The sequence below is a fragment of the Homo sapiens genome, chromosome 2, assembly GCF_000001405.40.
Source record: "Homo sapiens chromosome 2, GRCh38.p14 Primary Assembly".
In the NCBI taxonomy this organism is placed as follows: Eukaryota; Metazoa; Chordata; class Mammalia; order Primates; family Hominidae; genus Homo; species Homo sapiens.
The window spans coordinates 28,390,684-28,417,317 of NC_000002.12; the positions used below are offsets into that span (position 1 = coordinate 28,390,684).

The 26,634-nt window shown below is 52.4% G+C and overlaps 1 protein-coding gene and 1 long non-coding RNA gene across 5 annotated transcripts in view, besides 9 other annotated features; one reads left to right on the top strand and one right to left on the bottom strand.

The window, feature by feature from the left end:
* The window catches only part of FOSL2-AS1 (FOSL2 antisense RNA 1), a 10,264-nt gene extending 6,275 nt beyond the window's left edge, over positions 1-3,989 (bottom strand). The window contains exon 1 of the long non-coding RNA NR_103831.1: positions 3,865-3,989. This is a non-coding gene — a long non-coding RNA (FOSL2 antisense RNA 1). The remainder of the gene's footprint in view (positions 1-3,864) is intronic.
* Positions 1,392-2,511: a silencer, noted in NCBI's record as "silent region_11308". NCBI's record gives its function as "represses an Ori minimal core promoter by ATAC-STARR-seq in GM12878 lymphoblastoid cells {active_cell/tissue: GM12878}" and the evidence as "EXISTENCE:reporter gene assay evidence [ECO:0000049][PMID:35858748]".
* Positions 1,392-3,174: a biological region, named in NCBI's record as "H3K27ac hESC enhancer GRCh37_chr2:28615755-28616686".
* FOSL2 (FOS like 2, AP-1 transcription factor subunit) lies at positions 2,175-26,634 on the top strand. 4 transcript variants are annotated; one of them, XM_005264231.5, is made up of 5 exons: positions 2,175-3,139; positions 13,424-13,675; positions 18,076-18,183; positions 19,790-19,892; positions 21,247-26,634. In XM_005264231.5, exons 1-5 carry the CDS (start codon positions 3,038-3,040, stop codon positions 21,297-21,299), a joined length of 618 nt encoding a protein of 205 aa, XP_005264288.1. In that variant the 5' UTR covers positions 2,175-3,037; the 3' UTR covers positions 21,300-26,634. The 4 variants fall into 4 exon arrangements, with proteins under 4 accessions (XP_005264288.1, XP_006712039.1, NP_005244.1 ...); XM_006711976.4 differs by lacking the exon at positions 19,790-19,892 and having other exon boundaries at positions 21,196-26,634; NM_005253.4 differs by lacking the exon at positions 19,790-19,892.
* Positions 2,205-3,136: an enhancer, noted in NCBI's record as "H3K27ac hESC enhancer chr2:28615755-28616686 (GRCh37/hg19 assembly coordinates)". NCBI's record gives its function as "activates a minimal SCP1, AML or CMV promoter by ChIP-STARR-seq in naive H9 embryonic stem cells {active_cell/tissue: H9 hESC(naive)}" and the evidence as "EXISTENCE:reporter gene assay evidence [ECO:0000049][PMID:30033119]".
* Positions 2,998-3,174: a silencer, noted in NCBI's record as "fragment chr2:28616548-28616724 (GRCh37/hg19 assembly coordinates)". NCBI's record gives its function as "represses an EF-1alpha promoter that drives an FKBP-Casp9 reporter gene in an ReSE screen in phorbol 12-myristate 13-acetate-treated (for megakaryocytic differentiation) K562 erythroleukemia cells {active_cell/tissue: K562(+PMA)}" and the evidence as "EXISTENCE:reporter gene assay evidence [ECO:0000049][PMID:32094911]".
* Positions 3,292-3,792: an enhancer, noted in NCBI's record as "H3K4me1 hESC enhancer chr2:28616842-28617342 (GRCh37/hg19 assembly coordinates)". NCBI's record gives its function as "activates a minimal SCP1, AML or CMV promoter by ChIP-STARR-seq in primed H9 embryonic stem cells {active_cell/tissue: H9 hESC(primed)}" and the evidence as "EXISTENCE:reporter gene assay evidence [ECO:0000049][PMID:30033119]".
* Positions 3,793-4,293: an enhancer, noted in NCBI's record as "H3K4me1 hESC enhancer chr2:28617343-28617843 (GRCh37/hg19 assembly coordinates)". NCBI's record gives its function as "activates a minimal SCP1, AML or CMV promoter by ChIP-STARR-seq in primed H9 embryonic stem cells {active_cell/tissue: H9 hESC(primed)}" and the evidence as "EXISTENCE:reporter gene assay evidence [ECO:0000049][PMID:30033119]".
* Positions 18,790-18,869: an enhancer, noted in NCBI's record as "active region_15515". NCBI's record gives its function as "activates an Ori minimal core promoter by ATAC-STARR-seq in GM12878 lymphoblastoid cells {active_cell/tissue: GM12878}" and the evidence as "EXISTENCE:reporter gene assay evidence [ECO:0000049][PMID:35858748]".
* Positions 22,358-22,962: an enhancer, noted in NCBI's record as "H3K4me1 hESC enhancer chr2:28635908-28636512 (GRCh37/hg19 assembly coordinates)". NCBI's record gives its function as "activates a minimal SCP1, AML or CMV promoter by ChIP-STARR-seq in primed H9 embryonic stem cells {active_cell/tissue: H9 hESC(primed)}" and the evidence as "EXISTENCE:reporter gene assay evidence [ECO:0000049][PMID:30033119]".
* Positions 22,963-23,567: an enhancer, noted in NCBI's record as "H3K4me1 hESC enhancer chr2:28636513-28637117 (GRCh37/hg19 assembly coordinates)". NCBI's record gives its function as "activates a minimal SCP1, AML or CMV promoter by ChIP-STARR-seq in naive and primed H9 embryonic stem cells {active_cell/tissue: H9 hESC(naive and primed)}" and the evidence as "EXISTENCE:reporter gene assay evidence [ECO:0000049][PMID:30033119]".

Genomic DNA, 26,634 nt, shown 5'->3' on the forward strand with positions numbered 1-26,634 from the left:
GTTGCTACTGGGAGGGCTCAGGCAGGGCGCTTTGGCCGCGCCTCCCTTTGCAGCCCCCAAGACTTGGCTAGGGCGGCCTGAGGCCCGCGTGGCGCGGGGAGGGGCTGAGAACCGAGTGGGAAAATGTCACGATTTCTTCTGTGCCCCTCCCGTCCCTACCCCCACCCCCAGTTTTCTGAGTTTTGCTGCTGCCGCTGGGGAAGGACTGATTCGTTTTGCGTCAAAGGACTGCATTTACTCAGTCCTGCTGGGAGAGGCGCGTAAACACCCAGGCAAGCCAGGACGCAGGGATGGGGAGGGGGAAGAAAAAAGCAAAGCACCCACGGCCGGCGCGCGCGTCCGCCTGCCCCACACCCCTCTCCTGGGCCTGCGGAGTTGGGGACTCTGTCCAGCGGGCAGCAGCGGAGGTGCGAGGAGTCTGGCTGGCCTCGCCTCGTCGCGCACGCGCGCGCGTCCTTGGGGATAGCGTTCAGGACAGAATGTGTTTTATAGCTGTAAACAATGACCCCGAGTATTGTTTGGGATTACCGTATCTTGGGGCCCTTGGGGCGGCCAGATGCCGCCAGCCGTCCCGGAAATGCCAGCGCTTTATATAGAGCCCCAGGAAAGCTTCGCGTTCCCGGCTCTATTTTTCTCTGCTACCAACACCCCCACTTTGCAGATAAGGAAACTGAGGACAGAAGTTGTGTGACGGTGCACAGCGAGTTGTCAGCAATGGACTCTCAACACCTCTTAACATTGGGTCCTCATAAGGACCCTGTGGGGTACAGATGGCTGGCGCTACTTAAGAATTGGGTAAACTGAGGCTAACACAGACCCTGGACCAAAACCTAAGTTCCCTGACTTCCGCTACAGTACTTCTCCATTCACACACACCATCATCTCAGCGGAAGGATTGGAGCTCCAGAGCAGAGAAGGGCCTAAGGTCATGTCTCCAAACTCCTTCACTTTATAGGAGGAAACTGAGGCCCAGAGAGGTTAAGGAATTCGTCCAAGATCTCACAGCTCGTAAATAGCGTAGCCGGGCGTTCCTGCTCTAAGGTCTGTGCTCTGTACCCTGCGCCGCGCCCCTCCCAGCCCCGCCCAGCGAGGGAGGAGGACCCAAATGTCCGGCAACCCGCGCCCTGAACTTCGCTCCAAAACAGCTGAAGACGACAACGTTGGGGCACACCCTCTCGCTGGCTTTTTTTTTTTTTTTTTAATTCGTAACAGTCTGGAGTTTGCTTATAAACGCCCGATTACTCTTATTAGATGCGTCCTAATTGCCCGGCGTATAGGGCGGCCGGAATGTCTTGACTGGTTAATTTCATCTTCAAGGCTACTCCTAACGAATTAACTGTAGGACCGAAAACATGAAAAACAAAAAACAAAAAGGGAACCGGTAGGCAGACCGCCACGGAGGGAAAAATAGGCAGGCCAGCCCCGCCCGGCGCCGTGCCCCGCCAACACCCGGCCGCAGGGCGGCGCGGGCACCCTGCGCGCCCGGGGCGCCCGCTGCACTCGGCGGCGCCGCGGAGGGCGCCTACGACCGCGCGCAGCCGCGCCCTCCCTGCGAGCGGCTCTGCGCGCCCGGCTCCCGGCCTCCCGGTGGCGCCGCACCGAACCGCCCGTCTCGCCGTCAGGGCTGTGATTATTTTCTAAAATCCGGAGGCGAGACCCGCGCGGCCGCTCTCGGGGCCCCGCCCCGAGCCCCTTCCCAGGGCGGGGGAGAGGCCGCAGCGCACTCGGGAGCGGGCGAGGGAATCCCTCTCCCTCCACGTCACCCGAAAGCGAGGAAACCCGCACTCGCGTCCTCTAACGCAAATGACCATCTTTGGCAACGTGCGCCAATGGAACAGACCAAGGGCGCTGGGCCCGGGGGGTGAGCGGGGGACTGGGGAGGGCCGGGGCTGCCTCGGCGCCTCCGAACCGTGCGTGGCGCCCGCTCCCGCCCGTGCCACCGCCTGGCTTCCTCGCGCGGGGTGCGCGGTTGGCGTCAGCGCGGCCGGGAGCCGGGGCTGGGAGGGGAGAGCTGCGCCCGCCTCCTCCCCTCCCGCGCCTCTTCCTCCTCCGCGGCCTCCTCCCCCCGCCTCCTCGTGCGCTCCTCCCTGCAAGGTGGAGTCTGGGGTTGACGTGAGTGAATCCACATGGTACAGGGCTGGAGAATAAAGAGTGTGAGTTGAACTCGTGCCATTGTAGTGACTCATCTCGGGCAGAGCGCTAGGGCTCCGAGCGAACCAGCGAGCGAGCGAACGAGCGGCGCTCGGCGGGGACAGAAAGAGGGAGAGAGAGAGAGAGAGAGAGGGAGAGGCGCGGCCGGGCGAGGCGGGCCCGTCCGGGAGCGGGCTCCGGGGAAGGGGTGCGGGTCTGGGCGCCGGAGCGGGGAGCGGGGCCGCGTCCCTCTCAGCGCCAGCTCTACTTGAGCCCCACGAGCCGCTGTCCCCCTGGCGCGCTCGGGGCCGCGGGACGGGCGCACGCCGCCTTCTCCTAGTCAAGTATCCGAGCCGCCCCGAAACTCGGGCGGCGAGTCGGCCACGGGAAGTTTATTCTCCGGCTCCTTTTCTAAAAGGAAGAAACAGAAGTTTCTCCCAGCGGACAGCTTTTCTTTCCGCCTTTTTGGCCCTGTCTGAAATCGGGGGTCCCCAGGGCTGGCAGGCCAGGCTCGCTGGGCTCCTAATCTTTTTTTTAATTTCCAATTTTTGATTGGGCCGTGGGTCCCCGCTGAGCTCCGGCTGCGCGCGGGGGCGGGAGGGCGCGCGCAGGGGAGGGACCGAGAGACGCGCCGACTTTTTAGAGGGAGGGATCGGGTGGACAACTGGTCCCGCGGCGCTCGCAGAGCCGGAAAGAAGTGCTGTAAGGGACGCTCGGGGGACGCTGTTCCTGAGGTGTCGCCGCCTCCCTGTCCTCGCCCTCCGCGGTGGGGGAGAAACCCAGGAGCGAAGCCCAGAGCCCGCGGCGCGGCCGGCGGACGAACGAGCGCGCAGCAGCCGGTGCGCGGCCGCGGCGAGGGCGGGGGAAGAAAAACACCCTGTTTCCTCTCCGGCCCCCACCGCGGATCATGTACCAGGATTATCCCGGGAACTTTGACACCTCGTCCCGGGGCAGCAGCGGCTCTCCTGCGCACGCCGAGTCCTACTCCAGCGGCGGCGGCGGCCAGCAGGTAGGTGCGGGCCCCGGTGCACCTGGCGGCGCGGGCGGACCCCTGCCCTCTTCTCGCCGCCACTGCCTCTTTTGCTTTCTTTTCTTTTTCTTGGCGAGAAAATACCTACGGGCCACCGTTGTAAGTTCTGGATTTTCGTCCTCCCCTTCCCCCCCACCCCCTTTTAAACTAGGGGATTGGAGAGTGGGCTTGAAGAGACAACATGCCCTTTTCCTCTCACGTTATATTTTACCCAGATAGACTCCTGGAATTGTAGGCCCCCTACCAGGAGCCTGTTACCTCCTTCCAAGAACTACTCCCCCTCCCCAGTGTCTGCCCCCCCCCCCCCACCCCTGCCCCGCGTCTTCTCTCTGGGTGGTGGACAGACAAGAAAATCTTTGCACCCACTGGCACCTCTCGACATCCTGGGACCCTATTCCTTCAGGAAAGCCCTCTCTCTCTCCTCCCCGTTCTCCATCAGTCATAACTCCTTTCTGAAAGGGGTTGGGGACCCAGAAACATGGTTGGACTCCTTCAAGTAATCTGGAGCGAGGGCGAGGGCTGCCGCTCTGGGAATCAGGTGCGAAGGTCAGGAAGGAAGAAGCCAGCCTTGGTTGGCTCATGCCGCCTGTGTGCCCCCTGCCTGCCTGCCTGCCCCCCCGCCGACCCGTCTTCTGTAAGGATCACGGACAGGAGGCTGCACTGCCCCCCAGGAACGAAGGAGCACCTTGAGGGTCTGGGGGTACCTGGAGCAAGGAGACCGGCAGAGGGAAGAGGGGGTCGGGTGGGGGAAGAGACATCACGCAGGCTCCTGGGTGGTTCTGGAAGCAGAAAACAACTTGTTTCTAAAGCAGCCGGACTGGTTTGCACTGGAGGGATTGTGCGTGTGATCTCTGTGTTTATAAATACCAGGAAGGTGCTGTTGGCGGGGGGGTGCTGATGGCGTGTCTGCCCTCTGCTGCAGCTCCCCCACCCGCTCTGTCTCGAGAGAGAGCTGGGTTAACGCAGGCCCAATACAACATGAAGCCCACCGTGGTCAGCATCTGTGGAGTCTAGCATAGTTGGCTGCAGCAAGGGATGCTCATGCTCCATAAGGCGGTGGCCTTGGCCTCTAGAAGGGGCTAGGGTGGGCTTCCAGGGAGGGGTGGACTCAGCTGGAAAGAATTTTGGAACGTGGCTCTCTTTTGGATCTGATGGGGGGGTCCCTTGTTCCAAAGTGATTCCCTATACCTGGTGAGTCCCCAAAATGGCTTTTCTGTCTTCCCTCTGCCTCCCATGGTGCTCCTATAAGCACCCACAGTAGAGACAGCCTAGTCTGTTCATTGAGGGTGCAGTCAATGCACCCTTCGTAATGAGCACCAAGGTGATGAGTTTAAAATCCGAAAAGTTGTTGATTATGTTTGCTTCCCAGCCCCGCTAGTGGTTTGTGTTGAATGTAAACATAATGAGGGAATAGGTTGAAGTCTGTACCCACTCCCTCCGTCTCCCGTTCGACAAACCCCAAACGCCTGTCTGTCTCCTCCTCCCTGAAATCAGGAAGGGATCTTTTGATTTCTTCTCTGTTCTTTTCCCTAATGTGTCTTTAGCAGTGATCATTGGAGTATTACAATCTCACTGCCTGGTTTAGCATAGACCCTGGGGCCTGGAGGGAAGTCAGACCGGACATCAGTGCCCCAACTGAATAATCTGTGTCACTAGGGCTTTGAGCCCAGGATGTGAGCGGAGGCAATTCCCGGTTTTGGAAGAAAATCAGACAGGAAACCAGTGCTAGGAAGAAGGAAGAGAACTCAGTCCAGCAGAGTGTAATAGGGCCTCATTACCGAAGCAAAAAGCAGCTGTTGGCTAATTCCTAGCATGCTGTAACACATGAGTATTTTGCAATTAGCAATAACCAGTGCACGGGGTTTCGCATAGACGCCTGCCCATTCGGCCCGGCAGTGTGTGAGGCGCCTTTCAAACCGGAGGGATTGGCAAGGTAATGCCACTTGAGACAAGTTTCTTGGCCTGTCCGCTCCTTGGTGTGGTGGTGGTTGGGTGGGGGACGAGGAGGAACTGGTGGATTTTTCTGTCATTGCTCCAAGTGTGAACAAAATTGTTCTGTGGTCCTAAGGACTGACCTCAGAGGCTTTTGTTCCTTCACAAGTCTATGCTATGACCTTGCCCGATCTTGGGCTCAAGGTAACTTTACTACATACCAGATAAAACCTGTAATCACTTTATTTCTCTCCGCTTCCTGTACTGGAAGACTTTCCTGGCAATTAGTGGATGGGCCTTTCTCTTTTATGGCATCTCAGTGGACCGATCCATATGAGACAGTTCTCTGGTTTTTCTCTGGGGAAGTGAATTTTATTTTTTTCAGCTCTCTCTTTTGGGGGTCCAATATTCCTGATTAGTTTGTTGCCAGTTCTTCAACCCAGAGCTTTCCCGTCCTCTCTAGCTTCATGAAGCTGGATCTTAATACATGGCCATGAGCTCCAGTGACTTTGGGGGTGGGGGGAGCAGACTAGTCTTTGTTACAGCCTCTGTTCTTATATATGGCAGGAACTTGAGGCATGAAAAATATTTCCTGTTCCAGTTATAGTTTTAATCTCAAAGGTTGGTCATTGGTGATTTTGTTTTGTCAGTAACCGTTGCACACACCTCCCCTTCTTGGATTTTTCTTTTTGCTGTTGTTTTTTCTCTCCTAACTTTCCTAGGAAAACATCTCCCAGATATATGCCCTGCCTGGCTGCTTGACTATTACGGTTTCAGGGCCTGAGCATTACGCAATCCAGCCAGTTACACAAACATAGGTCATTTCATAACTTGTTTTCATCAGCTGGGCCCCCTTTTAATGAAAAAACAAAACAAAAACAAGACCTAGAACTTTTCCAAGGCTGCTATTTGTTTCTCAGATAACTTGTGAAAATAAATCAAGGGCAGTATTTCCTTTTTGGAGTTAAGGAATACCAGACTAGCACTCTTCTTCCTCAACCACCCCTTCCCAAGACACACACACACACACACACACACACACACACACACACACACACACACAAAATTCCCCAGAGTGAACTTTTGCCAACTGTACCAGACTGGGACATTCCTCACATCAAAGAACTTTTACCAGAAATGACTGTGATTCCCAAGCTAGCCTCAATCATACCTCTCTAGTGCCCTCTACGGGAAATTTTTAGGAAAACTATCTTGGGAATGTATTTTTCCAGTCCCAGAGAGTGTTAAATTGGTGAGTTTGGAATTCTTAGGATGCTTTTTCTTTTTAATGAGGGACAAATAAATGCCACATATTTAACCGTGGTTAACTAGGAACTGCTTGACTTTGAGTTTCTTTTTTGTTTTCTTCTAAATAAAACCTGGTTAAAAAAGGAGTGCTTTTTCGTTGTGCACAAGTACCCTAGAACTTAAAGTATAATAAAAAATAAAAATAAAAAAAGGAGTGCTTTTTTCTTTTCCTATTTTGATGTCTGTCTATTCATTAGGTTGCCTTCACAGTTTGTTCAAATTCCCAAGGCATGTTTTCCTATGTGCTTATATTAGGAGGGGGCTTGTTCAGTTGGTGGGAATGTGGGAGGCATAGATTAAGGGTCTGGGTGCTTTTTTTTTTCCCCTTGATGTTACAGATGTTGTAGATTAGGATCAAACAAAATGTTATCCCAAGAATTTGTCTGTTCCGCTGATTCTTGATGGTGGAAGTCAGCTTCACTTTTTCATCAAAGGGAATGGGGTGAAATAGCAGTCATGTATTGTCTGAAAGGCATTTGAATTTTCCTATCCAAAACGCTGAGTGCATTTCCACTACCCATTTCTGCTTCTGCCTGTCTTATTATTCAAGGTGAGGGTAAAATTGGGAGACTTGTTTTTTCTTCTCTATCTTAATACAAACACAGCAGAACTTATTCATCCTTGTCACTGTCATCCCCTTCCTTGTTTTTTCCTTGGGGAGACTAAATGCTTATCTGAATGCTGCGGCTATGCTTAGACTCAGAAAGGTTTTGCAGTACCCCCTCTTTTGCAGTTGCTTTCAGCGTATTCTTTTGAAAATCCTCCCTACTAACAAATCTTTGTCCTTTGAAGGGTGAATTTGATATTTGGAAATTACCAAAAGCCTCTTTGGAGCCGAGTCTGACATACAAGTCTGGATGATCAGGCTGAGGCCAAAGTAGGGTGTGACCCTGTGTCCTGCAGGCCTCTAGAGTCTACCTGGGAGAGCATGCCCACGACAAAGGACACCAAAGCAGGCACCTTTGCCGTCAATAACTTGGATTTTTTTTCTCATTTGTTAGATAGGAATAAAGATACTGGTTGTGAGAATTAAGGAGACGAACGTTCCGGTCTATTTGTTGAAACAAAGAAAAAAATAGCATCATTACTTTGTGGATATGTCTCATCTATGTTGTATGTGGTGTCTTTTGGTGGCCACAGTATTTCAAAATGACAGCAGCTGCCCTGATTGAGGCAAATATATCTGTTCCAAACCCCATCTGGTAATTCTATCCCTTCTCCACTCCCTGGGCCAGAGAGGGAAGGTATAAGATTTCTCCTGGCCCACCTGGTCTCTCGGCCCTGTCCCGTGGCAGTGAGACTTTCCTAGGCTCACCTTCCGGTGGCTTTAATGGAGGATGAGAGGACGTGTCATTCCCATGGAGTACAGAGCCGCCAGGGAGCTGTGGGGGCTCCAAAGGGGCCCACACACTAGTGGAGTGAATTCCCCAGTGCTTTGGAGTGGCGCTTCTGGCCAAAAGGGCCCTGGCAGGGAAGCAGCTGGGGAGCCTGGACGAGGGCTAAGGCCTTCTCTTTCTGTTTCTTTCCTTCCCTGCTTCTCTTCCCCCTGGCAGGCAGCCAGGTGGAGGAGGATAGAGTAAGTCTTTCAAGGGAACCCAGGAAAGCGTGGAGGCTGAAGGGAGGCGAGTCACCTAAGACAGCATTTATAAACTGTAACGCTTTGGGAAATCACAACTTATTAGCAACAGTTTCCATTGTGACATAGTGGTATTTCTTCAGAGAGGAATGAAATGTCAGAGGTCAAAGTGATGTTCAACGCAGAACCTGTGAAGAATGGTTAAATTCCTTATGGAAGGCTTTGGGGAACATCCCAGGTTCAGTAAAAATACAGAGTATTTGCGTTAAACTGGACCTCAGTGGGGATGTGATGGGAGGTATGAGACAGATTGTGCCCTTATCCTTTTCTCTTCTTGGGAGCCAATCTTCTAGGATGTTGGAATTGTCCCTTTTCCATCCTGGGAATCTAAAGAAAGGGTTCTTAAAGGGAAAGAACCCAGTCCCTTCCTAGATACACTCAATCATACCTGCTTGCCTGGCAAGGCAGTTTACAGAGTCCACAGGGCTTCATGGCTTGAATGCTTGATAACCCAGACAAAAATCTATCTGATGGAGAATCGCCTGGCCAAGGGGCTGGGCCAAGAACCCCAACCCTGACTTCCATCTCACATACCAGTTCTGCCCACTCACGAGTCTCTGGGATAAGCCCTCGGCCCCATCCGGTCCTGTAGGGGCCCAAACCCTAGTTCCAATACCTGTCAGCAAAAAGCCATGGGTTCATAGCTGAAGCCAAGGCTCCAGTATAGAGTCTCAGGAGGCAGTTTTCCCAAATCAGCAACTGTTGTGGGGGGAACTTCTCTGACCTGCTGAGGTTTGGTGGCCCTAGAGGGTCCGTGTTTTCGGCCGTCTTTCTCATTGGCAGTGGAAGGAGCACACGCATCCTTCCCAAGCAGCCCGGTGGCACCCTAGCAACAGGGTACAGCAGGGTGATGGGAGTTTCCATGCCCAAAGACCACAAGGCTTGTAAGGGTTTGAACGTCGGCTCAGGGTCTGGAGGTTCAAGCTGATAAGTGAGAGCCCGTCTCCTCGGCTACCTGGGTTGGAGGAACATCTCAGTTCTGACTTTTTGCTTTCTTATTTCCTCTGTATTCGTTTCCCTCCAACCTGAGCATGGGAGATGAGAATGAACCTCTGGGACAGGGGTTGGCAAACTATGTCCTGAGTATTTTTCTAAATAAAATACAGTGGCACAGTCCTGCCTATTTGTTTACATGTTATCTAGGGCTGCTTTCGCACTGCAGTGGCAGAATTGAGGTGCAGCCAAGACCGTATAGCCCACCAAGCCTAAAATATTTGCTGTCTGACCCTTCACAGCAAAAGTTTGCTAAACTCTGCTCTAGGAGGTGGATGGGGACCACTATATCCTTTTATAGGCATTCTTGCCCACCCCGCAGTTGACAGGGTGACACAGTGAAATATTTGGAGGCTTTGCCAGGCTGGAATGCTACATAGGCATCCAGCATCTTCAAAGTGTCCTTGAGGAGGACATGTTGGCTACAGAGCCCCAGGCAGCCGAGTGAGGTTTTGGGTTACCTCTCCTGATCCCATCACTCCCAGCACACTCCTGGCATGCATGCAGCAGGTTTGAAACTGCCCTGTAGCCCCCAGCTGAGCAGCTCTATCTTGGTTTGTGTTTAGTGTTAACTCGTCCGTAGAGAACCACGATTTATCTCCAGTGTGACATGTGGCTGATTCTCGGGTCTATTGGCATAGAAGAATGCTAGGCTAACTTCTGGGACCACAAACTCCTAACTTCACCTCTTCTCTCCTACCCCAGTGTCTGAATAACACGTTTCTGAATAACACGTTTCTGAATAACATGCTGGGAGTTGAGACAAGACCCATCTGCCAGATCTAATTGAAACTTTTGTGTGTCTCCAAGAGAAGCTCCTCTTGGAGACAAAAGCCTTCTTTATCAGAGCCCCGGGCCCCTCTGGGGATGGGACATTGTTTTCCTTGCAGTTTAGAGCCAGTGTATTATCCAGATGGCTTTGCCTCCTGTCTGAAACAAGGTGTACATGCGTTTCAGAGGCAGTCATTACCTCCTGGCTGGTTTTTATTGCTGTCTTGTTTTGTCTAGACCAAGCCATTGCTGCGAGGAATCTGGCTGATGTATACCGGGGAGCACACACCACGGACCTGCCCTCCAGAGCGGGTGGACTAGAGGGCCTCAGAGGGGCTAATAGGCATCCACTTATTCTGAAGGGGTCTTTGTCCCTCAGCTTTGCTTCAGATTTTCTGCTGGGTTCCCCAAGCCTAAAACGGGAGCACTTTTATTTGTTGGAATGAGGAGTGACTTTCTTAGGTGCTTTCCTAAAAGGAAAGCTGACAGCTTCCCCATGGAGGAGGGAGTCATATCAAACCATTGTGCTGAATGCCTCAGGTGCATTTCAAACCCAGAACCTGGCTTGGGGAGAGAAATGGAATTTAAAAGTTGGGTGCTTCCCAGGAGTGGGTAGCTGGCACTTCTCCCCAGAGCCTCCTGGGCAGAGTACACAGGCACATCTAATGATGATGGTGGTGGTGATGGTGACCTTCCATTGGTTTGGAGCAATGTTTCTCAACCCTGGCTGCACAACAGACTCTCCTTGGGGGTTTAAAAAAAAAAAAAAAGCTTATCAGAGCCCTGCCCCAAACCAATTATTTTAGAGGTCTAATGGCGAGGCTCTGACATTAGTGTGTTTTTTACAAGCTCCTTGGAATATTCTAATGTGTAGCCAGGGTTGAGAACCACTGGCGTGCTTTTATAGCCTGTGATTACAAGTAGCTACTCATTTAATCCTCATGGCAGTGCAGTGAGTTTGATGAGTATTCCCCTTTACATCCATGGAATTGAGTCCTTGAGCCCAGGGCAAGGCACTCAGTGGCTAAGCCAGGCCTCAACCCCATGCCTCCTGACCCCGAGTGCAGTGTTGACTCCCCGCCCCTCCCATCCAGCAGCTCAGGAAAAAAATAGCTGTCTGGGACTTGGTGCTTCTACACACACTCAGCCATGCCTGCTGTTCTCACGACTCTGCCTACTCACAGCCCAGCCCCAATTGGCCATTTTTCCTCCTTGAAGATCATTTCCCACTTGGATGCTTTCCTGTTCACTGCACTCTTCCCTCCTTCATATGCACACACCTGCTGCTTTTCAGTCAGCGCCTGATAAAAAGCCCACTTTTCTTTGCCTTCAGAAATGCAACTCAGAATCTATCACCCTGGGCAGCTCTCTTCACGGGATCCCAGAATCCATTGTACTGGGTAACTTTCCTCCAGTATCCCAGAACCCATTGCTCTAGGCAGCTCTCCTCCTGAATCTCAGAATGATGCATTGCACCGGATAACTTTTCTCCAGAATGCCAGAAACCATTGTTCTGTGCAACTCTCCTCTTGAATCTCAGAATGCATTGTACTGGGTAACTTTCCTCCAGAATCCCAGAACCCATTGCTCTGTGCAGCTCTCCTCCCGAATCCCAGAATGCATTGTGCTGGGTAACTTTCCTCCAGAATCCCAGAACCCATTGCTCTAGGTGGCTCTCCTCCCGAATCCCAGAATGCATTGCAATGGGTAACTTTCCTCCAGAATCCTAGAACCAATTGCTTTAGGCAGCTCTCCTCCCAAACCCCAGAATCCATTGCACTGGGTAACTTTCCTCCAGAATCCCAGAATCCATTGTGCTGGGCAGCTCTCTTCACTGAAGCCCTTGGCCTGGGCCCCCGAGGTGGTCTGGTTGATGAGGCAGCCGTTCCAACATGCAGACTAGGGTCAGGCAGATAGCAGGGAATTGAGCAAGAAGGGGTCCCCAGCTCTGTCAGCTGTAGTGAGGTACTCTATGTGTTATTTACACAGCAGGAACCCTGATGTTGTGACAAGGCAAAGACAATGGTGGTGCCAGCTTCCATTGCTGCGAATGCTTCTATCCTAGTTGGTCTGATTGGACCAGCATAGGGAGGGTTCTACAGCATCCATGCTAATGATAGTGGGGTTCCATTCGGGGCCAGACAGACCTGTGGTACCTTCTTTGTGAGAGGGGAGGTCTATAGGGGATGACCTGACACTCTGTCTGAGGGCAGTGGGGGTGGATAACCAGCACTTAGGGCTGGATTTTGAGGAAGAAAGCAATGGAAAAGGAGCTTGTATACCACTGTGTTCAGGGGCTCTGGCCTCTTTGTCAGGCTGGACTGGGTTTGAATCCTGACCCCGCTGCTTATTAGCAATGTGGCCTTGAATAAGTTACTTAATCTCACTAAGCCTAAATTTCTGTCCCTAAAATGGAGCTAATGGTCGTTCTTCACTCAGAGAGAGAATTAGTGAGATAATCTAGGTAAGCCATGGTGTCTGACATTTAGTAAGTGCCCAGGAAGTGTTGTTAGCTATTGTCTTCATCTCACCCAGTTTTTAAGTGGGGAAGAAACTACTTGGAGAAGCTTTATGTGGACACAGGAGTCATCTGAAGATGAAGGTTCACCTGGGTTCCATTAGGGGGACTTGCCTCTGAAAAGCTGGAAGTAGGGGGCTCTTCTCTCCTTCCCGCTTCTTGCAGTTTCCAGTAGCTGCCTTGGAGAAAGGTCAGGACCAGCTGCTAAGGAGCACAGCCCATTTTAGTTTCTATACTCTGTCATCATCTTATATTTTAAATAGAATGCTTCCTGCAGCATGTTCCAGAGAGCTCTGCAACGTGGTCTGGGCATAAATTAAGAAGCGGGGAGAAAACTGCACTAGCAGCACCAGAGTTTCCCACAGAAACATCTGTGAACATAGATCAATGCCTATGTAGCTGGGTAGAGAGACACACTCAGCCAGTCTGCCCCAAGCAAGATGCTGATGATGGGAAGGGAGGAGGGACAAGGACAGCAAGGGATGTCTGGCTGCAAATGCCGCTACTTGTTAGTCTCCTGGGTTAGAGGACATCTTTTCACGGACCTGGCTGTGCCCTGATGGAGTCATAGCTCTGTCCTGAACCTCTTTGGAAAGTGACAAAGGCAGACACAGTATGCTCCCTTGGTGATCTTTGTTGGTCCAAGGCTACTGGTGTGCAAATCCCTTCAAGGTGTCCTGAGCTGGTACCCTGAGAAACAGTTGGCAGGCGACTCAGAGGCTTAAAAACCCAGGTGCCACATCCTGCAGATGTGTATCCTGGAGAGCTGCCAAGAGGGCCTGCCGAGTGTGAGTGCTGGGGACCACGTCTATCTTGGAAGTCATTTGGAATAGGACAGTATCCTCACTGAGCCACCTGGGGATGGAGTTCTCAGGACCCCAGTCAGGGAGCAGATCCGACGTGAAGCCCCAGGCATAATTAAGATTCCCCCCTTGATTCTTGGATGCACAGGACTTGTCCAGGCCCACCTGGGGTCCTGACCTTGCCCTTCGAACACTGACTGTGCTCTGTGCTGGTTTTTGCCTCAGCTCTGTTCAATTATTATTAACTATCCTGTTCAGCTTAGTATTTATTGGCTCATTTGTATTTTTTTTCCTCATTTCAGAAATTCCGGGTAGATATGCCTGGCTCAGGCAGTGCATTCATCCCCACCATCAACGCCATCACGACCAGCCAGGACCTGCAGTGGATGGTGCAGCCCACAGTGATCACCTCCATGTCCAACCCATACCCTCGCTCGCACCCCTACAGCCCCCTGCCGGGCCTGGCCTCTGTCCCTGGACACATGGCCCTCCCAAGACCTGGCGTGATCAAGACCATTGGCACCACCGTGGGCCGCAGGAGGAGAGATGAGCAGGTACAGCTCAGACCAGTGGGAAGGAGCCACGTCAGTGGCTTTCAGAGCCCCAGAAACACAGAACGGGTTTCTGCAGACTGGGAGGGTTAATGTTCTGAGAGCAGGGGAGACAAGGGAGCTAGGGGTCGAAGAGCACGTCATCCCCCTTACTGGAGGCCGAGCTGGAGAGCCAAGACTCAGGCTGGCTCTGTCATCTCGCTTATGTCCCTTAGAATCTCTGAGTCTCACTTTCCTCAGCCACAAAATGGGGATCATGGTCCCTGCAAGCCAGGACTTGGCTACAGATGGGAAGGACCATTACGACCTGCCCACAGCAGGATCCTTCTCTGATCCTTGGCAAAAGGGCCATGGGACAAGCAGCCAATGAACCCTGGCTGTGAGCTTTTTAGGATTATCCCTTAGCCGTCTCCCAGGGTCTAGTGCAGGCCAGGCACCCAGCAGACCTACGGGGTCAAGCTCTGGGTCGGTACTGCCCACGACTTCCCATTCCTCCTCAGTGTTCTAGGCCTCCAACTCGGAGCAGGAGCCTATTTCAAGGGCCTGGAATGCATGTTCCAGAGGTGCAGTAACTCTGGGGCCTTAGGAGTCTGTTCAGTGGCATGGACAGGAGGATGAGGCAGGGGAGGCCAGACATCAGCCCTTTTCTCTTCAAGGGGCTCAGCTTTGAGAAAGAATTAACCTGGCTGGGGAGGGAAGCCAGAAAATGGGGAAGGGGGGGCTCTGCTATTTAGGCAGCACCTACCTAGTACTCAAGAGGCTCATTGCCTGGATCAGCAGTAAGCCAGGGCAGTGCCAAGTTCCCTGGTCTTGGAAAGGGAAATCAGAATCATGCATAATTCCAGAAAGAATGGGATAAAGCCTCAGAGAGCCCCACCTCTCCCCCATGTCAGATGATACAAGCAAGGGCCAGACATACCTGTGTGTGGCCACTCGGCCAGTGAGTGGGGAAGTCTGGGCTAGATCCCAGTTCCCTGGACCCCCTATGCAGTATTCTTTCTCCAGGGCTATGCCACCCTGAGCCCAGGGAAGGGAAAAATACTTTAGCAGTGGAATCCCTTTTTCAAATGAATTGTTATCCTGGGAAACTATTTCAGTGACAGCCTTGGAACCCTTCCTCATTTCAACCACTGTCCATCTTCACTCTGTGATCCCCAGGGCCACAATGTTCCAATATACGGACCTTTCAAACATGGTTCCCAGTGGATCAGGGTAGATCCAGACCCCAGGATACTTGGAATTACAGGGATCACCACACCAAGAAACTGGAAGCTTTCTCAGGAGCTCTGCTCCTGCGAGGACAAAGCTGGGTCTTGTATCCACTACTTGTTGGTTTGTTCTGTTAATGGCAGAACCACGGTGCAGAGCCACTTGGGGAGGTGTGTCTGCTAGACACTATAATGGATTCACAGCTGCATGTTGGGCCTCTGCTGCTGGAGCAAGTGGCCAGTATCCTCCTCACAGTTGCTTTCTATAATTGCAGTTGTAAATATTGCAGTAGCCATGCTTGTAAGGACTTTTATAAATAGGCTTCCTTCACGGAATCCAAGGTGCAAAGCCTTATACTCACTGATGAGCTGGACTCTTCTGGGATATAAGTGATCCTGAGTGAGAGCCAGGCTTGCCAGGTACTCTTTGGGGCTAGCAGGACCACAAAGCCTGAGGATGTGCTGAATGCTCTCCATTCCCTTTTTTTTTTTTTTTTTTTTTTTCTTTTTGAGATGGAGTCCTGCTCTATCACTCAGGCTAGAATGCAGTGGCACGATCTCGGCTCACTACAACCTCCTCCACCTCCGCGGTTCAAGCAATTCTCCTGCCTCAGCCTCCTGAGTAGCTGGGATTACAGGCATGCACCACCATGCCTGGCTAATTTTTTTTGTACTTTTAGTAGAGATGGAATTTTGCCATGTTGGCTAGGCTGGTCTCGAACTCCTGACCTCAGGTGATCCACCCGCCTCAGCTTCTCAAAGTGTTGGGATTACAGGCGTGAGCCACCGCGCCCGGCCACGCTCTCCATTCTCTTCTGGGCCTACCTCACACCAAATTTAGAAATTTGTATCCAGAGGGACTTTGGAGACCATCTTTTCTCATTTTCCCTTTATACCCATTTTACAGACAAGGAAACGGAGACCCAGAAAGGTGAAGGGCCCTGTTAGAGTCTCACAGTGAATTAGTAGCAGAGCCAGCACTGGAACCCACTTCTCCTGACCTTTGGCCCTGTGGTTTTCCCACCACACCACCTAGGCGTGCCTCATACAATCTGTCTGGAGAGTTTCCTTCCTTTTTTGAGAGGGAGGGAGAGAACAAGGAGCATTGTATCCCACATCAGTTGGGAATTCACACATCTCCCAGCAGCTTTAAGGAAGCCTGGGCAGTGGCAGCCTAGAACTTTGGCTGTTCAGGTTGCCAGCCCTCAGGGCTTTGCTCTGAAGCTTACTCCGGCCGTCCCCAGCCTCCCCCAGCCTCCCTGCTAGGGAGGAGCCTGCCTCCGGAGCCGGCCTGGTGCCTCATAGGCCTCCTCTTGGGAGGTTCCCTCTGTGCCCTGTGGCGGCGACTCTGAGGAGGTGGGGAGGGGAGGGTGTGTGTGGCTTGTGGGTGGGTACATGGTGCTGCTGACACACTCAAGCTGGAACCATGTTGATCTCACCGCCCCTGAACACTTCCTATGTTGACAGCTCCCACAAGTTGCCCCACACCTCACCAGTCAGGGGAGAGACTTCTAGGTCAGTCAGGAGGCCAAAAGTTGTCCAGAAGCAGCCAAGGGGGAAGGAGGGCTTGAACTGGGTCAAGGCCAGCCTCCTTCTTTTCTGCCTCTCATTAGCGAGGGATCTAGGGGGCTTCCTGGGCCTTAAGGGGAGCCCTGGTGGCCCTTTCAGTGGTGAGCCCTAAACCCAGGCCTGCAGCAGGGCCATAAGGCTTTCTTGGCAATTCTGCTGGGCTCAAGACAAGACAGGTTTAGGAGCAGGAAGTATTCAGGGCCTTGGCCAAATGGCCTCATGACCTCAGCCGGGCTGTGGACTTCCCTCTGTGTGACAGGCATGGGATTGTCCTCTCTGGTGCTGTGATGATTGTCCTCTCTTTGCTGTTCAAAACATCACAGCAACAGACCTCCAGGGCTAAAGGGAGCATTGTGGGACTCTGACTTGGACCCAACCAGGACAGTGGCTCTTTCCTTCATGGGGTGACCTGAAGTCCAGGCAGTATCCCTCCTTGGGGTAGCTTCTCCCTGCTCCTCCAAAAGTAGCTTTGATTTTGCCCCCAGGTGTCCCGTGAGAGCTGACCCAGGTCTTATTCCCCTTGAGATCTTCTAAGCTCCTAGTGTAGCACCGGGCAGTTAGTAGGTGTGCAGTCAACGTCTGATAACTGAATGGGTGGGCTTTCCCTTTGTGTTGCTTTCTGCTTTGGCCCACAGCCGTCTCCTTGTGTCACCTCTGCCTGAGAGAGGCATTGGGGTCACAGCTCTGCAGGGCTCTGTAGAACCAGAGCATTTGCCCTGCTCAGTAGAGCAGAGTTCATGCTTTCCGGTATGAGTGACAGATTCCTAACTGTCTCACTGGAAGAAGCTAGATCCTAAGCTCTTTGCAGGGGAATCTTCCTTTGTTTGGTTCGCAGATAAATCCCAAGCCCGTAGAACTTCATCTTGCACATGGAACCAGGTGCTCACTTGTTGAGTGGACAGATATGGTGGGCAGCAGGATTTTACCTGCTGGGGGCTCCTCTTCCTTTTGCATGTCCTGTCCAACTTAGCACTGTACCAGGCATGTGGGGGAGTACCTGGGGTTGAACCGTGAGCAGCTGGCACCCTGGGATTGGCAGAGGAAATCGGGAGTGGAGTGGCACTCTTGGCCCTCCCATCAGCAACATAACATTCCCCCCTGGGTGGTTCTTAACCTGTGTGGGGACTCCAGGCCCAGCTACTTAACAAAATGGGGATAATGAGGCTTGCAGAGCAGGCAGAGTGATGGGAGGAGAAATTAGCCAGGGTTTGGAAGAAGCTGCTTAAGTGGGTGGGGCCACGCCTGGCTGGCAGGAGGGGACTCTTGGAGAAGCATCCCCAGCTCCTTCTCTCTGGCCTGAGCACTGAATCAGGGCTGATGTGATAGGTGCTGCCATCATGCCTGGGCCAGTGAATCTCTGACCCATTGCTGTCCTGTTTAAACATGGACTTTAAACTTGGACATCACCTTCCGGGGCAGATTCAGCTCAAAAGAGCCCTCCCAGGCAGCCAGACATCAGGGATCCACATGTTCTGGGGCCTCTGAGTCCAGCCATGCTCCTCTTGCCCTTCCTTCTCCTTTCTCCATTTCCAGAAGGGCTTCTTGCCTTACTTAAAATACAGTTTTTAAAAAATACTGTGAACCATTGTCTCTGTTCTAACCATGATCCTTGGCTTTGGCCTCTAGCTGTCTCCTGAAGAGGAGGAGAAGCGTCGCATCCGGCGGGAGAGGAACAAGCTGGCTGCAGCCAAGTGCCGGAACCGACGCCGGGAGCTGACAGAGAAGCTGCAGGCGGTGAGGAACTCTGCGTAGGGTGGGAGCACCTCTGGGTGGGCTGGAGTGAGAGCCCCGGGGGTCCTGATCCTCTCTCCCACAGCTGTCTCCTTACCCACAAATGCCCTACAGATGAGTCAGTGGAGATAGAGCTTTCCTTCCTTTGGACACATGGGTCAGCATTGTGTTGATTGAAAAGAGAGAGAGAGAGGGAGGTGGCGTTTAGCACCAGCCAGGGCCCAGAGGGAAGAAATGAACAACCTTCTGTGGGGGTGCTAGCCACGGTTTTTACGCAGCACCTGAGTGTTCTCTGCTCACAGAACTGTGGGGGCTCCTGGGTGAGGGATGATGGAGGGTGGGAGCCAGGGCAGGTCCAGACCTGCCCCATCCAGGGCTGCTTCCCGAGGTTCCAGCCACTCCCATGCCTGCCGCCATCAGGAGTGGCCCAGCCTGGCCTAAGCACTCTGGGTTGGGCCAGGGAGAAGTCTTGATGGAGATAGGTCACGTGGCAGCAGGGTTGTATTTTCTTGGGGTTTTCTCATTTCCTTTATGGGCAGGCGGGTTCCCCACCTCTATCATGAACTCAGAGCTGTGGCCATGGTACCGCGTGCTGCTCTTGTGAGTCACTCTCCCGTGCCGCCTAATTGCCCAGACCTGGGGACCCGCAGCCCTGCCCTTCCCTCTGTTAAGCTTGACCTGACCAACGTCACGTAACTCCCTTCAGAGCCTGGCCCTGCAGGAAGGGCCGTGTGCTGTGTGGAGGAAGCCCCGAGCCAGGGTTGACTCTCCCCAGTGGAATGCTTTCAGAGTGAGGAGATGAGAGAGACTCTGTCAGTGGTCCTCACAGTGACTGCCCAGGATGGGGCTTTGGAAAACATCCCCTCACACTTTTTTTGTTATTATAATTTTTTTGAGATGGAGTTTCGCTCTTGTCGCCCAGGCTGGAGTGCAGTGGGACGATCTCAGCTCACTGCAACCTCTGCCTCTTGGGTTCAAGCCATTCTCCTGCCTCAGCCTCCCAACTAGCGGGGATTACAGGTGCCTGCCACCATGCCCGGCTAATTTTTGTATTTTTAATAGAGACAGGGTTTCACCATGTTGGCTAGGCTGGTCTCGAACTCCTGACCTCGGGTGATCTGCCTGCCTTGGCCTCTCAGAGTGCTGGGATTACAGGCGTGAGCCACCACGCCTGGCCCATCCCCTCACTTGAGTTAATGTTTCCAGGTACCATCCACCCACTTAGGCTTGTCTTTCTCTGTCCTGCAGCCCTCACTCTGGGGTGTTGAATGAATTGAATTGCGTGAATTCTGTGATGCCTGTAGTAATGGCCCTCGGAGGTGTTAGAGCCGGGGAGGATGAGTGGGAATTCTTCATTCCCAGGTGAGGCAGATCCACAATCCACTTCCTCAGCGGGCCCTCCCACCACTAACCTTTCTGTGATTGGCACTTCAAGGAGCTGTGCCCCATGTGGCGCTCCTCACCACCCGCCCCGGAATAGCCCTGCCCCCTGAGGCTCCTCTACTTTCCTTCCCTCCTCCCAGAGGCCTCACACCCTACTCCCCTGCCTCCCCCACCTCCCCCGCCCTCTGACCCAGCCACCCAGGCCCCTGAGCCACATCCTCCACAGGAAGCCTCTCAGAAGCTCATGACGTTCGTCAGACCCTTGAGACAGACGGAAACTGTTTTTCACTCCGGAATATGCTGTCCTCTGCTGAACGAAGCCCTTGCCCGTATGTCCTCACTGATGAACAGGAATCCATGTTAGGGAAAACGTGGGGAGGAGGCTGGTGACACACACCTCTTCCCCTCCCACAGCGGCCCCTCCACGTGCACTTGCTCGCTTCTGCTTCTCTGGCTGGGGATGAAAGAAGGGGGCTGAGGTCCTTGCGGGGTGACCCTGGCATCCTCACAGGCCCTCTCGGGCTGTCACGTTACTTCTGTGTCAAGCGTGGTGGCTGAACCAAATGTTCTCTGAGGGTTCTGGGAGTCCTGAAATATGTGCTTAAGAAATTGGAGCAAAAGGCCAGGCGCCGTGGCTCATGCCTGTAATCCCAGCACTTTGGGAGGCTGAGGCGGGTGGATCACCTGAGGTCAGAAGTTCAAGACCAGCCTGGTCGATGTGGTGAAACCCCATCTCTATGAAAAATACAAAATTAGCCGGGTGTGGTGGCAGGTGCCTGTAGTCTCAGCTACTCGGGAGGCTGAGACTGGAGAATAGCTTGAACCCGGGAGGCAGAGGCTGCAGTGAGCCAAGGTCATGCCACTGCACTCCAGCCTGGGTAAGACAGAGTGAGACTCTGTCTCAAAAAAAAAAAAAAGAAAGAAATTGGAGTGAAAAAAGGGAGGAGGAGAGGCTGTGATAATCCCACAGGGATTTGCTGAGCACTTCTGAGAAGCCAGGCACTGTTCTAGGTGCTAGGGATACAGGAGTGTGCATGACAAAGTCTCCACTCTCTAGCAGCCTAGGGCTTAGCGTTTATCCATCCACAGGTGGGCTGGCATGGGGTTGGGGAGTAAGAGAAGGAGAGAGGTGGGTAGAGCTGTGTTCCGTACCCCCTTCTCCATGCAGATCTCTGCAGTACTCACCCCTCAGGGGTACCGAGGGGGCAGTCCTGGCACCAAGGCCATAGAACATAGACCCTGGAGTCAGATACATTGGGAATCAAATCTGGGCTACCCCACCTGCTAGCTCGGTGACTTTGGAAAATTAACAGAACCCCTCTGAACCTCAGTTTCCTCATCTGCAAAATGGGGCGATGATAACATCTGCTTCCAAAAAACTCCTGGAAGATTGAATGAGATCATCTCTGAAATGCTTAACACTGTGCCCTGCACAAAGTAGGTGCTGGGTTATGGCAGCTGCAGTTGTTGTCTTACCCCCTCTCCAAGCTGACTTTCCTTCTTTGGAAATGAAAGGAATCTTGAGCCTCCAGGTGACTGAGAGACTCAGACCAGCGGGGTCTGTGGTTAGGTGTGTGAGCCTCTGCTCTCACAGTGTCTGAGAACATTACTGGTTTTCTCTTTCCTGCCTAGATTGGTCCCTGGCAGGTTGCTGTCCCTCACATCCCTCTCTTTCCGTGGCAGGAGACAGAGGAGCTGGAGGAGGAGAAGTCAGGCCTGCAGAAGGAGATTGCTGAGCTGCAGAAGGAGAAGGAGAAGCTGGAGTTCATGTTGGTGGCTCACGGCCCAGTGTGCAAGATTAGCCCCGAGGAGCGCCGATCGCCCCCAGCCCCTGGGCTGCAGCCCATGCGCAGTGGGGGTGGCTCGGTGGGCGCTGTAGTGGTGAAACAGGAGCCCCTGGAAGAGGACAGCCCCTCGTCCTCGTCGGCGGGGCTGGACAAGGCCCAGCGCTCTGTCATCAAGCCCATCAGCATTGCTGGGGGCTTCTACGGTGAGGAGCCCCTGCACACCCCCATCGTGGTGACCTCCACACCTGCTGTCACTCCGGGCACCTCGAACCTCGTCTTCACCTATCCTAGCGTCCTGGAGCAGGAGTCACCCGCATCTCCCTCCGAATCCTGCTCCAAGGCTCACCGCAGAAGCAGTAGCAGCGGGGACCAATCATCAGACTCCTTGAACTCCCCCACTCTGCTGGCTCTGTAACCCAGTGCACCTCCCTCCCCAGCTCCGGAGGGGGTCCTCCTCGCTCCTCCTTCCCAGGGACCAGCACCTTCAAGCGCTCCAGGGCCGTGAGGGCAAGAGGGGGACCTGCCACCAGGGAGCTTCCTGGCTCTGGGGGACCCAGGTGGGACTTAGCAGTGAGTATTGGAAGACTTGGGTTGATCTCTTAGAAGCCATGGGACCTCCTCCCTCATTCATCTTGCAAGCAAATCCCATTTCTTGAAAAGCCTTGGAGAACTCGGTTTGGTAGACTTGGACATCTCTCTGGCTTCTGAAGAGCCTGAAGCTGGCCTGGACCATTCCTGTCCCTTTGTTACCATACTGTCTCTGGAGTGATGGTGTCCTTCCCTGCCCCACCACGCATGCTCAGTGCCTTTTGGTTTCACCTTCCCTCGACTTGACCCTTTCCTCCCCCAGCGTCAGTTTCACTCCCTCTTGGTTTTTATCAAATTTGCCATGACATTTCATCTGGGTGGTCTGAATATTAAAGCTCTTCATTTCTGGAGATGGGGCAGCAGGTGGCTCTTCTGCTGGGGCTGACTTGTCCAGAAGGGGACAAAGTGCAATACAGAGCCTTCCCTACCCTGACGCCTCCCAGTCATCATCTCCAGAACTCCCAGCGGGGCTCCCTGAGCTCTCAAGGAGATGCTGCCATCACTGGGAGGCTCAGAGGACCCTTCCTGCCCACCTTCGGAGACGGCTTCTGGAGGAACGGCTTGGCCAGAAGACAGGGTGTGAGTGAGACAGTGGGGCACAGGTTGGGTTTGCCAAACGCCTAATTACCAGGCCAGGAAGCATGCCAACAAAGCCACACGGGTGTCCTAGCCAGCTTCCCTTCACCTGGTGTCTTGAGTAGGGCGTCTCCTGTAATTACTGCCTTGCCATTCTGCCCCTGGACCCTTCTCTCCGGACCAGGGAGGCGTCCCTCCCTAGGAGCCACACATTATACTCCAAGTCCCTGCCGGGCTCCGCCTTTCCCCCACCCTGGCTCTCAGGGTGACGCCACCCACAGAGATTTAATGAGCGTGGGCCTGGACCTTCCCCAGATGCTGCCAGGCAGCCCCTCCCCAAGCCTCAAAGAAGCATTTGCTGAGGATGGAGAGGCAGGGGAGGGAGGCGGGAGGCCGTCACTGGAGTGGCGTCTGCAGCAGCTGCTGCCCCAGCACCCGCTCAGCCTGTCCTGGCTGCTCACCTCCCCGCAGGGCACCGGGCCTTTCCTGCCCTCTGTGGTCATCTGCCACCTGCTGGATCAAGTGCTTTCTCTTTTACACTCCCCTGTCCCCACCCCAGTGCACTCTTCTGGCCCAGGCAGCAAGCAAGCTGTGAACAGCTGGCCTGAGCTGTCGCTGTGGCTTGTGGCTCATGCGCCATTCCTGGTTGTCTGTTGAATCTTTCTGGCTGCTGGAATTGGAGATAGGATGTTTTGCTTCCCACTGCAGGAGAGCTGCCCCCTTTCACGGGGTTGGGGAAGGGTCCCCCTGGCCTCCAGCAGGAGCACAGCTCAGCAGGGTCCCTGCTGCCCACCCCTCTGAGCCTTTTCTCCCCAGGGTATGGCTCCTGCTGAGTTTCTTGTCCAGCAGGGCCTTGACAGGAATCCAGGGAGTAGCTCCTGGCCAGAACCAGCCTCTGCGGGGCTTGTGCTCTGCAAAGACTCTGCTGCTGGGGATTCAGCTCTAGAGGTCACAGTATCCTCGTTTGAAAGATAATTAAGATCCCCCGTGGAGAAAGCAGTGACACATTCACACAGCTGTTCCCTCGCATGTTATTTCATGAACATGACCTGTTTTCGTGCACTAGACACACAGAGTGGAACAGCCGTATGCTTAAAGTACATGGGCCAGTGGGACTGGAAGTGACCTGTACAAGTGATGCAGAAAGGAGGGTTTCAAAGAAAAAGGATTTTGTTTAAAATACTTTAAAAATGTTATTTCCTGCATCCCTTGGCTGTGATGCCCCTCTCCCGATTTCCCAGGGGCTCTGGGAGGGACCCTTCTAAGAAGATTGGGCAGTTGGGTTTCTGGCTTGAGATGAATCCAAGCAGCAGAATGAGCCAGGAGTAGCAGGAGATGGGCAAAGAAAACTGGGGTGCACTCAGCTCTCACAGGGGTAATCATCTCAAGTGGTATTTGTAGCCAAGTGGGAGCTATTTTCTTTTTTGTGCATATAGATATTTCTTAAATGAAGCTGCTTTCTTGTCTTTTATTTCTAAAAGCCCCCTTATACCCCACTTTGTGCAGCAAAGATCCCCGTGCAGGTCACAGCCTGATTTGTGGCCAGGCTGGACAAATTCCTGAGGCACAACTTGGCTTCAGTTCAGATTTCAAGCTGTGTTGGTGTTGGGACCAGCAGAAGGCAAACGTCCAGCCAACACACAGGACTGTAAGAGGACTCTGAGCTACGTGCCCTGTGAAGACCCCCAGGCTTTGTCATAGGAGGTCGTTCAGCTTCCCCAAAGTCAGAGGTGATTTGATTTGGGGAAGACTGAATATTCACACCTAAGTCGTGAGCATATCCTGAGTTTTACTTCCTTATGGCTTGCCCTCCAAGTTCTCTCTCTCATACACACACACACCCTTGCTCCAGAATCACCAGACACCTCCATGGCTCCAGCTATGGGAACAGCTGCATTGGGGCTGCCTTTCTGTTTGGCTTAGGAACTTCTGTGCTTCTTGTGGCTCCACTCGCGAGGCAGCTCGGAGGTGTGGACTCCGATTGGGCTGCAGGCAGCTCTGGGACGGCACAGGGCGGGCGCTCTGATCAGCTCGTGTAAAACACACCGTCTTCTTGGCCTCCTGGCCAGTCTTTCTGCGAATAGTCCTCTCCCTGGCCAGTTGAATGGGGGAAGCTGCTGGCACAGGAAGGAGAGGCGATCCCGGCTGAGGCTTAGGAAATTGCTGGAGCCGGCTCCAAGCAGATAATTCACTGGGGAGGTTTTCAGAGTCAAACATCATTCTGCCTGTGTTGGGGGCCAGGTGTGTCACACAAGCATCTCAAAGTCAAAAGCCATCTGGGGCTGCTGCTTCTGTTTCTCAGGCTCTGGGGAAAGGAATCTCCCTCTCCTCTCACTTGATTCCAAGTGTGGTTGAATTGTCTGGAGCACTGGGACTTTTTTTCTCTTTTCCTTGATGGACCAACAGTGCAAATGCAATCTCGCCATTTAACTTTCAGGTCGATTTCCTTTCCTGATCAGACATCTTTGTGCCCCCTTTAGGAAGGAAAAGAATACACCTACGATGTGCCAGGCACTGTGTTAGGCGCTTTTATATAGATCCTCGTTAGGATGAGACTAAGGGATGAGGACATCTCTTTATAAAAGGCCCCTAAGTAATGGATAAACAGAAACACTTAGAGGTGAGAAGGTCTGTCTTCAAGATCCAAGGTAAGATTGCCTTCAGTCTGATGTTTGTTCTCAAGGACTTATCCCCTACAATATTCTCCCACTCCATACTTCTCCTTCTACCCCACCATGTGCTCCCGTGCACTCCTCAGATGGTCAGAGGGGTAACCCAAGTCCTTAGAGAATTTGGGGACCAATAGAATATGTGATGTGTGAATTTTCTTTAAAAAACTTAAGGAGTCTTTGCTACCTTCTGCTTGTTGAGTTGTTTTGGCATTCATATTAAAAGCCAGCATCTCACTATTTATTGACAGGTTGGGCTGTGTGTGTGCGCATGTGTGTATACATTTCCAGGCGTGCCTGTGTCCTGTAGCTTTTTAAAAGGAAACCCAGTCATCCCACTATGAATCTGGCATCTTCTTATGCTTCTAGTGTTTTGGCCATACATCAACCAAGGGGTTTAATTTATCCAATGCTTGACGACATGTTCAGGAGGGGCTGGATCAAATTTTGAGAGGGTTATGGGAAAGGGAGGGGGAGAAGAAATTGACATTTATTTTATTATTTATTTTAAATGTTTACATCTTCTTTATGTTGTATCAAGCCTGAATAGAAACTGATAGCATTAAAATACTCCGTTCCTCTCTCTCTTCTCGCTTCCTTTTTTTTTTTTTTTTTAAATTTAGGATAACACATTTTTGTTTCTAAAGTGATTTGTGATTTGTGCTGTATAAACTGTATAAAAGGTTCTGTTTTTAAAGGTGGATTTTCATTCCTCTGGGGACAGTGGTCGCCAAGACATCTACATTGTAAGAGAACACAGTGGAAGATCCTGTCCTGATTCTCAAAAATTATTTTCTCTGTATGATTAAAAGTTTATTCCATTTATTTTAGTTTGTGTTTACTTGATTTTGAGGAAGAAAATATTTGACTTTGTGTAAAGAGTAGGGTATCAGGGTGTCTTTTCTGCCGTGGGAGATGTGTATATATATAGTATTTTGGTGTATAGTAGAAAATAAGCTTTGTGCATCTGTATTTGAGATATGTTAATGACGTGGAGTAAAGTCAGCTGTAAGACTCTGGAGGCAAACAAGTTGTATATGGTTCATATGGCTCTATGGGGAATTTAATTACCTTTCTGGGCACTTTTTTTTTTTTTTTTTTTTTAAGTAATGGTGAAATGGTCCCATTGGAGAGTCTCCTAAATAGACCTTCCAGGCAGAACCGCAAGCTCAAAATCTTTGTATAGTTTTGAAAATTGAGGAGTAGCTTTGTTTGGAAGCCTTTCTGGTGGTGGTTTTTGTTGTTGTTGTTGTTTTGTTGTTTTACTATATGTAATACAAGCCTACAGTATTTGCACTAAAGAAAGCTTGTTAGAAAAAGCTTGCTGCTATGGAAGAAAGAACATATTAAAACTTCTTTCCCTTGCGATTTTTTTGGGGGAGGGGGGTTAGCATTTCCACTTTCAGTTGAGTAGCATTTTGTAGAATAAAATGAATTAAGATTGAAGAGCC